At 36.4% G+C, this 15,533-nt stretch overlaps 1 protein-coding gene across 11 annotated transcripts in view; it reads right to left on the reverse strand.

The window, feature by feature from the left end:
• Positions 1–15,533, reverse strand: part of COL28A1 (collagen type XXVIII alpha 1 chain) — a 205,677-nt gene extending 190,144 nt beyond the window's left edge. For 9 of the 11 annotated variants that reach the window (XR_926936.4, XM_011515360.3, NM_001037763.3 and 6 more), the window contains exons 1-3: positions 7,413–7,536; positions 4,415–4,575; positions 3,011–3,567 (exon numbers count right to left, since the gene is read on the reverse strand). Coding sequence is in view for 10 of the 11 variants with exons in the window: in XM_011515360.3 (XP_011513662.1) it covers positions 3,011–3,567; positions 4,415–4,538 (681 nt within the window). In the remaining variant the exon portion in view is untranslated. The other 2 variants (XM_011515358.4, XM_011515359.2) reach the window with 2 other exon arrangements.

The raw sequence follows: 15,533 nt of genomic DNA on the forward strand, positions 1-15,533 counted from the left end.
TAAAAATAGCAATAAAAATATATTACATGTCTTCTTCAATTTGGAGTCATTAAGTCTCTTTTGAGTAATTCAGAACTAAAATGTTTCTATGGGGTTCTTACATGATAATTCCTACTAGAGGCATCAAGGAATTTGCAATGATTTGTTTTGTCTTTGCTCCTGAAGAATCTATTCATTCTGTATACTCGTGTCCATTAAATTCAACTAAAGTCTATTCTACAATAAAAGGGAGTAAACTTCTGATACAGAAAAAAACCCTGATGAGTTTGAAAATCATTATACTGGGTACAAGAAGCCTGACACAAAAATAATACATACTATTTGAGTTTGTATAAAATTCTAGAAAGTATACACTAATCTAGAGTCACAAAAGTAAGATCAGTAGCTCAGGAGCAAATGGGGTCTTACAAAGAGATATGAGGCAATTTGGGGAGGTGATGGAAATGTTCTCTATCCTAATTGTGTTGGTAGTTTCATAGGTGTGTACCTATGTCAAAAGCTCATGGAATTGTGCCCTTTAAGTTAATGCAGTTGTGTACTTAAATCATACCTAATTAACTTATTTAAAAAGTCAACTACATAATTATTTTAAAATAAAAAGTTTAAAAATTCAACTAAAGATGTAATAGAAAGGGATTAGATAAAGAATTTTTCCAATGGTCTCATCAAGAGTCAAGTTCTGGGCCCGGCGCGATGGCTCACACCTGTAATCCCAACACTTTGGGAGGCCGAGGCGGGCAGATCACCTGAGGTCAGGAGTTTGAGAACAGCCTGGCCATCTCTACTCAAAAATACAAAAAAATGAGCCGGGCATGGTGGCAGGCGCCTGTAATGCCAGCTACTTGAGAAACTAAGGCAGGAGAATCGCTTGAACCCGGGAGGCAGAGTTTGCAGTGAACCAAGATCGTGCCACTGCACTCCAGCCTGGGTGACAGGAGCAAAACTCTGTCTCAAAAAAAAAAAAAAAAAGAGTCAAGTTCTGCCTTCTAGATGGTGGCAATTTGTAACATTGAAAGTTGGTATACCATTCTTTGAAGAGCCTAATAAGCACTTTGGATCCTGTAAGTGTTTGGAAAGCAGCACCTCCTTCTAAAAAGTGGTTTATTCATGGAGCTTCCATCTGAACAAACAAGCTGAAATCACAGATGCTAAACAAACAAGCTGAAGTCGCCGGATGCTAAGGAAGAGCAGTATTCAGTCATTTTCTGTTTGCCCAGGAACAGACAAACAATTTTGCTTCCAGTCTACTGCCAAGAGCCTGTGTTCTCAGTGAAGCAGGTGCTCTCAGCGAGGGTGTATCTGGTGGGAATATGAACAACCTGAGCCTACACCTGTGGCCAAACAAGGAGCTGCCTGTCCCGCATCTTCTATGGTCAGCTCTTATCCATCTTAAGGTGAAGATGAATAAGTAACAACAGCCCACTCATGACCACATCACCAGGATTCTCTCCCACACGGGCTGGAGCCCTCTGTTTTATGTTCAGTGGTGAGGACCCCTTAAGTCATGGCACAGGCAGGGCTAAGTGTTAGCCAGGAACCACTACAAATTTCCCTTTCATGCAAAAGAGCTGCTCAGAATGAGTACTTACCTTGAGCACCACAGGACTGGGCCCATCAGCTCTATCTCTGATCTAGGCATAACTCTCCCATTTACCCCGAATCCCCAAGGAAAAAAAGGCTAGAAACAATAGTAACTTTGGAGGAGGGCTGCTACCAAACTGTTTCAGAGCAGTTCTGATTGAGAAAATATTTTTTTAAAAAGCAGTTACTATTTCCTCTCTCAATATGCCTTTATAGGGTTAAGCATGCAAACTGTGAGGTCTTCACCGGCCTTAAATTTTCAACTACAAAATGGGTATAATAACATTACCTACATCATAAGATTGTGGCAAACATTGAATAAAATAAAATATATAAAGTGTTCAGGAAAATGCCTAATACAGAGAGAGTACTCAATACCTAAGAGCTATTATTTAGGTAAGAAAACCTCAGATCTTATGCTGAAAGCAACAGAGAGTAAAAAGATAAGAGTAATGTTGAGAAAAAGATCGAGGGATAAGACAAAAGGAGCAAAACAATCTCTGAAATAGAGCCTGAGTTTTCTGTGCAAGCTGTAGAAAACAGCCATATGAAACGCTCAGTACATAAAGGACACCTTTGCCTTCCTTTCTCAGGAAATCAAAGAAATCCAAGTTTTTAAGAAAATCAGTTTTTAACACTCAGCCAATCAACCAATTTATCTCTAGGCGTTTTCTCCTTGAGAAATATTGTGAAGAGGGATTTCCTTTTGATTGTGGTGCCGTGTGTTTTACAAAGCAGCAAGGAAAGGCTTTTATACACAGCTGAGCAACAAACAAAGAAAAGCTGACCAGACCTATCAAGTGGGACTCATTGATTTGATGGGAGAAACTGTTGCTTGACTGCAGGTTGCAGATGATTTTAAATTGGATGGGCTTGAGAACATCTAAGAAAGAAGGAGGTAATTTTAAAAATTGGAAGTCTATGAACTTTGAGTAGCATAATGTAACAATAGGTGAGACAGAGTCAAAAATACTCAGTCCTTTAGAAGAGTAAGAGAGAATATGTCAAGATTATGTCAAAAATACCTGTACAGATGTGGAATGGGAAAAGACCAACTTGGTACAAATATAGCCTAACACCTCAAGTTGAGCACAACCTGAATATAAGTCAGCAATGTTCATGATTGTAGGCTGTATAAACAGGAGCTTAAGGTATATGATTGGAAAATAACCCCTTCCAAAATCCTCAGCATCAGCTAGCAATAAAGTTAAAAATGCAATTCCAGGGAATTAGCCTGGAACTTTTCCAGATTGTCTGGAGTAAACTGCCAAGAAAGTGGAGTGACACTTCAGAAAGATTCTTCTTTCTGTTTTCAGTGTTAACTCTCATTTTCTCCATCTTTTTGACCCAGTATCTCTTCTTATGGGATTTACAACAAATATGTCAATATTATGATGATAACTGTATAATCAACCCATTAGGTACCTACCAGACGATCTTGAATTTTATCTACAAGGGTTGGATCACTCAACAGTAAAGTGGGTTCACTGGATGAATCCCCAGAAATCAAACGAAGTTTGGCTTCATTGACTACCGTAGAAAGTGCAATGGTGATAAATGATATTCCTGAAATTCTGGCATCTTCAGAAATACTTTGAACATCTGGATTCTTTGGATGGTCGATGCCATCAGTCATCAGCAAAACCACTTTCACACCATCCTTACGCCCTTCTCTCTTAAGTAGCCTAGTGGCATTGGAAATGGCATAATAAGAGAAGGTACCTTGCCCTATTAAATTCATAGACTTGACCTTCTGCTTAAATGTCTGCAGGTCCTTCCAGGAAGAAAAAGGTGGATCAATTTGGACAGAGCTGCTAAACTGAAGGGCTGCCAGTTTGATGTCATATTCCAAGGAGCGACCAGGAGTCAATTGGAAAATCTTGTCACTCAAGCTATCCACAAAATCTTTCTGTTTATCAAAGAGGGCAATTTTAGAACTTTCAGAGCTGTCCACGATGAAGACAATATCTATGAAACAAATGGAGCCTGAAACAGAATAAACAGGTTAGGCAAAATAATTATTCCTATCATGAAACAAATTTGCATACGGAAAGCCCTGAAGTGGTGTGTTGTATATTGTTTGGTGTTGAGAGCAGCGTGAGGAGAGAAAGAGAGACACGTTGGACAGAAGGCTTCAATTGTAAAAAACTAAATGTCTAAGTTTATGAATTATTTTCTCCTTGTAAAATCATGCAAATTAAAAATAAATAAGATATCTTTTATTCTGAGCATCTTTTCAATGTTAAACCTGCTGAAAGTGGGAGGAAATGGGAAGTCAAGATGCATCACATTTTAAAAATCCAACTAACACTGAGCATAGTTGTCTAGAAGTAAATGATACTCTAATTCTCAGGTTGTGTCATATTGGTGAGTCCCTATTTTTTTTTAAACTTTCTTGAAATCAAGGGAGAAAATGACTATACCCCCTATACCAAGAGTAAGTGGAGAAGAAACCTAACTTAAACACAACTTAAGTTTAAATCCCAGCTCTGTGTCTCAGTGGTTAATTTGCCTATGGCCTTGAGTATGCCACTCGACCTGTTAAGACCTCAATTTTTTTAATCTACACTATGAGTGGCAATCTCCGTCCTGCCTATTTTACAAGGTTACTGTGAGGCTCAAATGAGATAATAAGTGCACAAGTGCTCTTATTAAAGACTCTGATGTGCTATAAGTATGTAAGGTATATTATCATCATATAATTTTATCAAAGTAGACTATCACATGTATACATGTATATGGCTTGCTATTTATATCAAATGCTATTTAGAAAAATTCACATAAGTATTTTTAACAGGCTAAACTTAAAAACAAACAATTTTTTTTTTTTTACCCTGGACATCACTTTTCCTTGCAAGCAAATTTGATTTTGGTCCTTTCTTTCTTTGTCCGGATACTGTTTGACTCGTAAACGCTGACAAAAGCAGGAGATAGAAGACAAAATATCTGTTCCACATTATGGTAGATGGTGAAAAATCATCTGTCTTGTAGCACCTTTAATAGAAAAGTCAGTTACAAATACTTTAATAAAATATGGTGTTTGTTATTTTTAAATTTCAAGCCAGCAGGGTTGAAAACTGGCATGTGACTGGAAAAAAGAGGTTTTCATTCATATTTCTAGAAAAATATTCACATTGAGATTTTGAAAGATTTCAATCCAAATAAATCATGGCACCATGACCAAACATTTATTAGTGAATATTTCTATATATTCAAAGAACTATATTTAAGTATTCTTAATTCCGCATTGTATTTTGAGGAGCATAGAGTTGGGAGAGCCATTTAAAAACATTTCAATCCCGCTCTATATGATTACTGTGGTTCAATCACAGGGTCTGCTTTGACATTTCCAAATTCTTCAGGGGGAATTCAGATTGCTATATGGTCATTTCATTCACTTTCATTATAACTGATTCCTGACAAATCTAGTATTTTGTAGAACTGTAGACAACCACCACCCTTTCAGGCTTAATACTACACACATAACTTCAGTGAGTTCAGAGGTCAAGGTAAAAATTAAACGACCCTTCTGTTTCCATAGAACCCCATCTCTCTTTTCTACCCTAGCTTTGGAAACTTTGTCTCCACCAGGGGTTCAAAGCTGCATATGCAATGAATCAAAAGAGTATGAGAGCAAAAATAATAGATTTGCTTAAAAGCAACACTCTTCTTCCAGTGATGGCTAAAAGAACTAATGGACAGAAACGGGACTTAAAGCCAAGAAGCACCCCCTCTGAATAGCCCCGTGAAACTATTTTTCTGGGTGGATTAACAACGAAAAATCTAATTCTGTATTAAAATCCTCAATCTTCATCAGTCAATATGCCTAGCTACACACCAACTGACTCTTAAACTGACAGATTTCCCTGGGAGGAGAAGACTCATGTGTTGCTGCCTCAGTATACCCAAGAGAATGGGAACGAGAAAGCTTATTTCGAATCAATACTTAGTATGGCTTAAAAATGCTTGCCTGCTGAAACTTTATTGACTTCAGGAGTTCTGGAAAAGGAATCACATTTTCCTTCTTTGGCACCTTGCCTTTAGGGGATAAGAATCTGGGAAATCATGAGCACGATTTTTCCAGACTCTGAGTAGAGAGTGGAAATATATGCAAAGGCAGTGAGGAGTGAGATGGAGACTGACTTTTTTCATACATGCCAGATGGATAAACCCCAAAGGGAAACAAAACTGTTGGGTTAGGAGAGGACCAATGGATGGCTTCATGCCACAGTCTGCTCCTCACATAGCATCATCCAGCTGGAAGTGTATTAAAAGAACTTTGGATAGGTATGACCAAACATCTTGTGTAGCAATTGGCCAAATGCCAACTGATCCTCAGACAAGGTATACTAAAATGTAAAGACAGCTGGGTATTAAAAACAAAACAAAACCAAGAAATGTGCTAAGGAAACAGAACACACAAAGGCCATCTCTCCTCAAGTTGTCCCTTTGCTAACCAAGGAAAAAAATAAATGATGTACAACTTTAAGTCTGAAGGTTAGTGTAAAGATAAGGCTATGTGAAAAACACAGTTGTTATTGCATTTTCAAAGGGGAAAGGGAATAACACCATGGCCATGGTATTACATATGACTTTTCTCTTTGGTTGAGTTCATACCATAAGGAACATCTCAGAAGTTCTGGAAATAAGAGGCTGAGAACTGAATTCCATTGAGAACTGAGCAAGATTTTATAAGCAACATAATCAAGCAACTCTTCAAAACCCTTCATGTAAGGTTTTAGAAATACTGGCTTTAAATAAAGATTTATCTTTTCCCAAAACTAAGCACCTGCTCTTACTGTTTTCTTGGCATATAATCATGAATTTGTACCTGATCCCTGTATATATGATATTCACAAACATAACTTTTCCATTGACAATAATCCCAGTATCTCATATTTTGTTCTTATTTGCTCTGACATTGTTAATCTAGCTCTCCCAAACCAAAGTCTTGTTATTTCTTTCTGTTTCCCTATTGTAGCCAGAGGACATTTTCATACCTCTCTAGATTTGTTTCTCTAGCTTGTTAGTTCTACTGCTTCCCTGAAATATCTTTCTCGTTTATTAATTTGGCATCTTGAGAGCCCACTCATTTCTAATCACTTTTTACCATGTTTTATTTTGCCTCTGTTTTTAATAATTCTCACCTTTCTCTCTTTCTGATGTCACGTACAAGCAAAATAGGTTTCAGAGGAAACAGTGCCATTAGTTAAGTGAAAGAAATGTGAACCTCTGTGTTTACTATAGGTTACATTTTATAAATGCAGAAACAATCATAATTATTAATCAAATACCGTAGTTTTACTTTTGGCCTAAAATTTATTTGGGGTAAATATCAGGATCAGTAAATAAATCCAAGATACTTTATTTTTTATAATTTTTCAAAAATAAAATGATCTTATATCAGAGTTCACCAACTTTAGTTACAATGTTTGCATCTCAGTTTCTACACAAATAGAAAATGATTGAATAAAGACTTTATTCAAATTGACAAATTAGCCAAGTTGTAAAGTATTCTATAACTAATTCTGAATTGTAAACCCTGTTCCAAATTAAGAAAAAGATGTCCTAAAATATATTAACATCGTTGTAAAACAATTTAGAAGACTGTAAATTAAAAATCCATTTCAAAATAATTTTAAGTTTTAAATTTCTACATTTTAACAATGTTAATATTTTTCTAATAATTGATTTGAAGTAATTGCAGAGAATACAAACTATTGACAAGCTTTCTCACCTAATAATTATGTAAGTAAGTCATTTAGTCTTCCACAGTTCCTTGATGGTCCTATCTGATTTCAAGTGACTAAAATAAATCTGTTATGTCTTACCTTATAAAGTTTGTCAAACAGGAATTAAAGACTAGTTGAGTAAATGCCAACAGCAAGGACTGTGGTTGGGGGTGAAGTTAGCTATTTGATATTGTTCTGTTCTGTGGGAAATAAAAGTGTCTTTGCTTTAGGATCTTTTGCAGTCTTTTGTTCATGTTTATTCGACTAAGTCAAAGCAAGAGTGGTCAGGCATTTGGCCAGGGTGCAAGATCTGGGTGGGATCAGTAAGCAATTTAAAGGAACAGTGTCCTTTCAGAATGAGACTGTGTTTTCCAGACTATTGTAAAAACAACTTGAGAGAACTTTCTACATTTTAGGCATTGGTTGACAGCCTGCCTTTTTTTCTCATGCTATGTCCTTCTCTTTTTATTGCTACATTTCTTTGCCTGGGGGATGTGCTCTAAGATACTGGTTCTGAACATCTCTGTGAAGGAGTATAAATGACACCAGACTCAGAATCAAAGCTGTTTTTTTAAGAGAGGTAACAGTTTGATTGTTATTAAAGCTGGATGATGAGTACATAGGTGTGCATTGTTCTAGTCTTTGTATTTCTGTGATTTTTGAAATTTTTTATAATAAAAGGTATATATAATATACAGGGAAAGAGTGGTCTGAGTATAGTCATAGTTCTGCCCCTAACTTTTATGGGGGCTTCAGTTCCCCACTTATGAAATGAGAGAGTAGATTTAATCATTTATTAAGATGTGTTCGAACTGTAACATGAGAGGTTTACAGCGGTTAATATTTTGGTCTCTCTCTAGGAAAGGATCACTGTGGTTTTTCCACTCCCTGTTTCCCTATTTTCTACCTTGTGGTTATGGTCCATATTAAGTCAATGTTTATCATGTAATATATACTGCCAAGAAGCCACCTGACCCCTAGACAGCTAACAGGCAGGCTTCTCCACGGACTTCCTCTGAAATAGAGAATAGCAAGATCATCCGAGAAAGCAATACAAATGTGCATGTTACGGTTATTTAAAATGAACTTTCTTAGCCATTTTAATGTGTATGAATTTCCTTATTACAGCAATAATAGCCTCCAATTCATGGACACTTACCAGGTGCTAGGCACTGTCCTGAGTGCTTCACACACATTACCTCATTTAATCCTTCACAAGCACAACCACCTATATACAGTAAGTCCTCACTTAATGTCCTCTGTAGGTTCTGGAAACTGTGACATAAAGTGAAACAATTGATAATGAAGACAATTTTCCCAAGAGCTAATTGATATAAATAAGAGTTAAGCTCTTATGGCATATTCCTAGTCACAAAAACATCACTAAACCTCTAAATACTCAAAACACCTCTAATAATAAACATTGAAATAAATCTAAGCTATATATACATTTATGAAAGATTGATAAAAACAAGATAACTGCTTACCTGCATATTCCAGTTCAGGGTCACGGTTGACCAGATCCTGTCCCAGCAGCTGAGGATACAAGGCAGGAACCAGCCCTGGACAGGATGCAGTACTGTCAAAGGGCACTCATACACCCACCCACTCTCTCAGACAGGCACCATGTAGACACACCAATGCATCTAATGGGCAAAGCTTTGGGATGTGGGAGGAAACTCCAGGACCTGGAGAAAACCCACACAGACATGGGGAAAACATGTCAACTCCACACAGTGAGCCTGGCCCAGGAATTGAATTTTTTTTCTCATCAATGTTATAACAAAATGACATTGAACAAAATATTATTCCAGGACCCCTTGTACTTAGTAGATGTTGTAAGAATTCGAATTTTTCCAAGATGGAGGCAGAGAGAGGTTCAGTAACTTGTCCGCTGTCATACTAAAACCAGAGAATGGCAAAATGAACTTTTAACTCAGGCTGGTAAGACCTGTGAGCCTCACTTATAACAACTACTGCATCATTAAGTATCTATGCGAACGTCTGTGTTTTCACTGTCTCCTCCTCACAAAACAGGTTTCGAGGAACTGAGGAAGTTTTGTGAGGCTTTGGTAACAGAAAGAAGAAACGGTGGGTATAATGCAGAAATAACAACGGAATTTCCTAGGGAACAACCATGTATTTACCTGATAGCCTATGGGTGTTAGTCACACTTTTTACTTTTGTAAGATGAGAATCAAGAGACAAGGAAGTAGCATCTTTTCAGGTCAACTCTCTTTTTGCTGAGGCAGGTTAAAAACATGCAGAATAATAATGCCACTAAGAAGCAAACAGGTGATTCCTAGATGGGGGAAATGGACTAAAGCCCTCCTGCCTTGGAGCTGTTTTGATTAAAGTTGGTGGGAGGTTGGAGTCCAACTTAGTCATCCATTCCCTTTCATTCTCCAACATTAAATAGGGTAACTCAAACCAAAGATTTGCCACCTCTCATTCTCAAGCGTGAAAATCAGCACTAAATTAATTGGGAAGATTATGCAAAATAAAATCTTCAGTTTCATCAATCTATAAAAGACAATTAGTTTTGCACCCAGAGAAACAATGCACCACAATCTTAATCCCAACAGATGGTCTTGAATTAGTATGCTATTGGACTTACACCAGAACAAATAAGAGAGCATGGATAACCATAATGACTAGAAAAAGGCAACGTGGAGCCCATGCCCTTCTGACAGTTATTTTGTAGTAAAAGTCTTTATGGAAGAAATATAGCACACTATTTTCATTGTTACTACTATAAATAGCCCAGAGTAAGCAGTCATATTTGTGAAATAAATGATTATTAGAAGTAATTTTTAGTGTTTATCAGTCACTTGAGGTCTGTGATACAATAAATTGCTCTTCTCCAAAGCTCTGCTAGATGAAAATCTTTTTTCAACTTTTTCAAATTCTTTTAATATGCTACCATAGTAGCATCTGCATTGTGTTTATTGATTCTAGTACCAGTGCCAACATCTTAATTTCAGTGGTGATGATATTTTGGGGTCCTAGAATCATTTAAAAAGAGACAAGTCTGCTAGGACTTACATATTTCAGAGAATTGTATCTGCATGAAGTCATAGAAATACACACAAAAAAAGGCTGGTAACAAATCAAAGTTATATATTTTGACCAAGATTAAGGCATAGTATAGTTTCACAAGCTTCTCCCTATTTTAGCCACCTCCCACACTGCTGATCTAGAGTAGAAAAAAAAAAACATTACCAACTAACAAGGAAGAAATTAATGACCTTCGTACCTGATTTGAAGAAATTTGTTCTTGAAGATCCTTTCCTTTCTTTCTTTCTTTTTTTCTTTTTCTTTCTTTCTTTCTCTTTCTTCTTTTTGTCAGTAGAAAAGCTTGATATAGTAGAATTTCTAACACCTGCCCCAAAGCTCTGAAATTTCTGGGATTCATTATCCTTGGACCCAGAATATGACCTAGGCATTCTCTCAACTCCTTCATCAGTAATTAGAGGAACACTGTCTTAGTCCATTTTGTGTTGCTATAAAGGAATACCTAAGGCTGAGTAATCTATAAAGAAAAGAGGTTTATTTGGCTTACAATTCTGCAGTCTATGCAAGAAGCATGACACCAGCATCTGCTTCTGGTGAGGGCCATTGACTGCTTCTACTCATGGCAGAAGGTGAAAGGGGACCAGCGTGTGCAGATCATATGGTAAGAGGGAGCAAGAGAGCAGGGAGAGAGGTGTCAGACTCTTTTAAAGAATCAGCTCCCCCAGGAACTAATACAGAGAGAACACACTCATTACCGCAAGGATGGCATTAAGTCATTCATAAGGGATCCACCCACATGACCCAAACGTTTCCCATCAGGCCCCACTTCCAACAGTGGGGATGAAATTTCAACACGAGGTTTGGAGGGGGCAAATATGCAAACCATGGCAAACACCAAAACTGTATTGGTCTTATTTGTCAACAAAGGGAAAGATTAAAAGCATTCAAAGACAATAAGAAAATAAAAATTATCATTGGTAATAAAATACAGGATGTGGCATTGCTTAAATGTGGAACAGCGTGACTTCAGTTCCTATGCCCTCACCAAATTCTGATTGAGTTGATCCTTCCACATTCCCTCTACTATTTTTCAATTGTTACTATTATTTAATAAACTTTATGGTTTAGAGCAGTTTCGGGGTACAGCAACACGGACTCAATTATCTTTTATATCGTTTACTCCCTAAGATCTCTTGCTTCATTATTTGTCATTCAATCCCCAGCTTGAATAATTGTGTCACATTTGCAACACACAGTGCCTCATAGGCTACAGTGACAGGCTAAATTCCCGTTATACCAATCTTATGACTATTAATCTCTTTCTCTAAAATATTTTTTCAATATTAATATTTCTTCTTTCCATGTTGTTTATTCCTGACTAAATGCAATTATTTTAGACCAAAAATAAATCAAGGTGCCATCTGGAAAGTTTTACAATTTTTTTTCTAAGAAATATCTGAAAGTAGATTGATCTAGTCCTATCATAGGTTTGAATGTTCAATATTTTTCTTTAATTATTTTCTTTGGTCAATGGATAGAGCAGTTTTAACTTTTTCATGCAGAGCCTACAAATAGAGAAAGATCAGATCTATTTATACCTTGACTAAACTCTGCTTTAAATGGCAAAATATTTCTATTTTTCACTTAGTTCATTTTACTTTCAGATATTAGACAGTGTTATTCTAGATCTTGGTGAATTATTTGATAACCACTGATTGGTATTTAAACTTTTCTTGTATTGGGGACAAACAATAGTGTTAAATCTCTGAACTGGAAGGAAACTTAGAAACCACTTTTATTTAATTCTGCCATTTCACAGTTGATAAAATAGAGGACAGATATTAAGACCCACCCAAAGGTCAAATCATTAATCAGTGAGGGACTAAAATTTAGGTCTTTGTGCATCAAAGTGGCCATCTTTCATTATCTCTAAATGCCCTAGAAAATTTTTAGGCCTTTGCGCTATCCAGGCTTGTGCTTGAGCAGGAGAAAAAGGAAGCTGTATGGCTAATAATTTATATTTATAAGGATTTAACTTTAGTGGCAAATGGCTCAGAACAAATCATCATGGGCTAAGTCCCAGCACATTAAAGAGTCTCACCTCTCACTGTGTAAATCTTAGTGCCTGGGCCATTAAAGGCAATGAACACCACCTCTTCGAACCCTGGGTTGAAAAACTTTCTCCTCCAGGTTTGGACAGGTTTATCTGAGTAGCTGGGGATTGTTACAGCTACTTCAATAACTGATCCCTAATCAAAACATAGCCAGTAATATAGGTAGATATCATCATTTGCATGAATATTAAGTTGTAGAAACACAATACCTACTTGGGTTTTCTGGTCAGTGTATTGAGATTTAATAAGAATATCCAAAAAAAGTTTTAAAATAACTCTTCTAAATTTCTGGAATAAAAGTGTTTTAAGAGCATTAAGTAACTTATTATCCCATGTTATATTAAGCCGTTACAATGCTGGTTTACACAACATTGTTCCCAGTTAAGGTAATAGGGTCATCTGTTTTTTTCATTGCATCTAAATTATATAGTTCCTCCTGCACAACAGTTTGTTTCTCCTTCTGCCCTTAGAAATTCTATACTAAGGGTAAATTATTCATGGACAAAATTTATAGAAAAGGGGACTTGAGGTGAATTTTTTTTTTCCTATTTGGGGATATGAACAACCTTTTAATAATACTAAATTCTACACAGAAATAAAGTACCTATTATCATTATTCATTGTTTATATCCAGAACTATAGATTTTGAAATCACATATATAATGTTATTTAATGTTGAGTAACTTTTACTTAATTATATATTTTCTGTTATTCTAATTGACCAAATTCAGAAATGCCAAATACTAACACAATTTAGTCAGGACTCTGCATGGGTCTTCAGGAAGTGTTGTTTGAAAAAAGATATTTGGGCACCACCTTGTGGGACTTTGTAGAAAGACATAGTGTGAGAGTTTGTCAACTATTGTTAACAGATGAAAAATTTTAATCGTCTGTGATGCTGAACGGGTGGAATAAAAGTTGCTTTCTACAGCTTTTTTGGGCAGAAGAATGAGGAGACGAACGAAAGAGTGATAAAACTACTCTTATATAGGATCAAGAAGCTCTCTAAGTAACATCTGATGAAATCCATAACTCATTCACTTAACTAACATCAACTTAGTTTCTACTATATGTGAGGCACTGGATAGAAAACAGATAGATGCAGTCACTTCAACCCAGTGAAGAAAATAAGCAAGTAAAGAGCAATGGCAAGTTTTACCCAAAAAAAAAAAAAATTAAGTAATCACATATCTAACTCTAGTTGACAATACCATGCTGCAGGGTTTGGGAACAAAATTTACCAGTGTCTGCAACTTACTTTGAAATGCATCATAAAGAAAGAAGATGGGGCTGGGTGCGGTGGCTCACGCCTGTAATCCCAGCACTTTGGGAGGCCGAGGCGGGCAGATCACAAGGTCAGGAGATCAAGGCCATCCTGGCCAACATAGTGAAACCCCGTCTCTACTAAAAATACAAAAATTAGCTGGGCGTGGTGGTGCATGCCTGTAATCCCAGCCACTCAGGAGGCTGAGGCAGGAGAATTGCTTGAACCAGTGCGCTGAGATGGCACCACTGCACTCCGGCCTGGCCACAGAGTGAGATCCCATCTAAAAAAAGAAAGAAAAAGAGAAGAAAAGAGACGGGTAGAAGAATGGGTAGATGGGTAGATTATGCAATAGAGCAAATATGTTCATTGTAAATACAATTGTGAAATCTGGGTGGCAGGTAATGGGTTTGCTGTATAATTCTGTTAACTTTTCTGTATGTTTGACAATTTTCATAACAAAATATTAGGCCAAAAAGAGCAAGAGCAATATAGTGTGATAACATCTATAAAAGAGACTTACACAGAGGGCACCCAGGTCAGACTGTGATATGGAAGTTGGAAGTGCAGGAGCAGAGGATAAACAGTGGTTTCTTTTATGCCATGTTAAAGGGTTTAAACTTTATCTTGAAAGCAACGGGAGCCACTGAACAATTTTAAGCAGGGTTGTGACATGATCACACTTTCATGCTAGGAAAATCACTCTGATTGCTGTGTGAATAATGGCAGGAAAACAAGCTTGGAGGCTGAGATCTACTAGGAAACTTACTATGACACCAATGAGAGATAAGGCTCTCAAGTACCAGCAATGAGAATGCAAAGTGAAGAAGTCTAAGAAATATTAAGAAGCAGAATCAAAGAGCTTAGTACCTAATTGGCCTAGGAAAGTGGAAGAAATGAAGGAGAAAGATGGTACCCAGCAGTCTGCCAAAAAGTATTTAATAACTGTCTCTCTGGGGAAAAAAGTGTATTGTACACATATACATACGTAAGTTTATCAGAAATGTTATTGATAAAGAACGTATGGTATAAAATTTTCAAATAATAATAAAATACACAATATTCTCTATTATAAATTCTATATAGCAAACTGATTCATACAGATTGCTTTCATTGATTTTTGGCCAAATTCTTATATCTTTAGCCAATCTATGGTTGTAATTGATGAATGAGTATAGTTCCAACAAGAATGTTGGTTGGCATTTTCCTCTTCTTGAACAAGTAAGACAAAAATGAAACAAAGAAAAAGGTGCATGTGCATTGAAACTTCATTTGTTTGTCAATGATATAAGCAACTTTGTAGCTGAATAATATAATACTTTTCAAATACTGAAACATTTTCTTAGTTTTTTTCTTATTCAACTGTTACAGATAAAATACACTTTTGAGTTTAATCTGCATTATTGTTTTCTCCATCACTTTCTTTGGCCTAGACAATAAATAAGACAGTAATTCAAGCCCTAATTTGTAGCAGATTTCTATTGTGTAAAAAGTCCTACTATGTCAGATTTCAAATTACTAATGTGACATCACTGAACACAGGGTTGCAAAGAGAAACACAAATATATAGCAGCATACCACTATGCAGGATTTCCATCATATAGTTGCCATGGATGCAAACAACTTCAAGTACACACACAATAGTAAGATTTAGTAAATAATTAGGAAGTAATGAGTTTTGAGTATTTATTACTATTGTTTTTAATGTAATTTATTTACTTGTAAGTTAAATATATAATACAACATTTAATAATATCTGCGGTTAACAACTGGCTCAAAAAATTTCTGGAAATTTAGCAGTTGACCCTCACAAGGTGACATGAGCCA

This window comes from Homo sapiens, chromosome 7, assembly GCF_000001405.40.
Source record: "Homo sapiens chromosome 7, GRCh38.p14 Primary Assembly".
In the NCBI taxonomy this organism is placed as follows: Eukaryota; Metazoa; Chordata; class Mammalia; order Primates; family Hominidae; genus Homo; species Homo sapiens.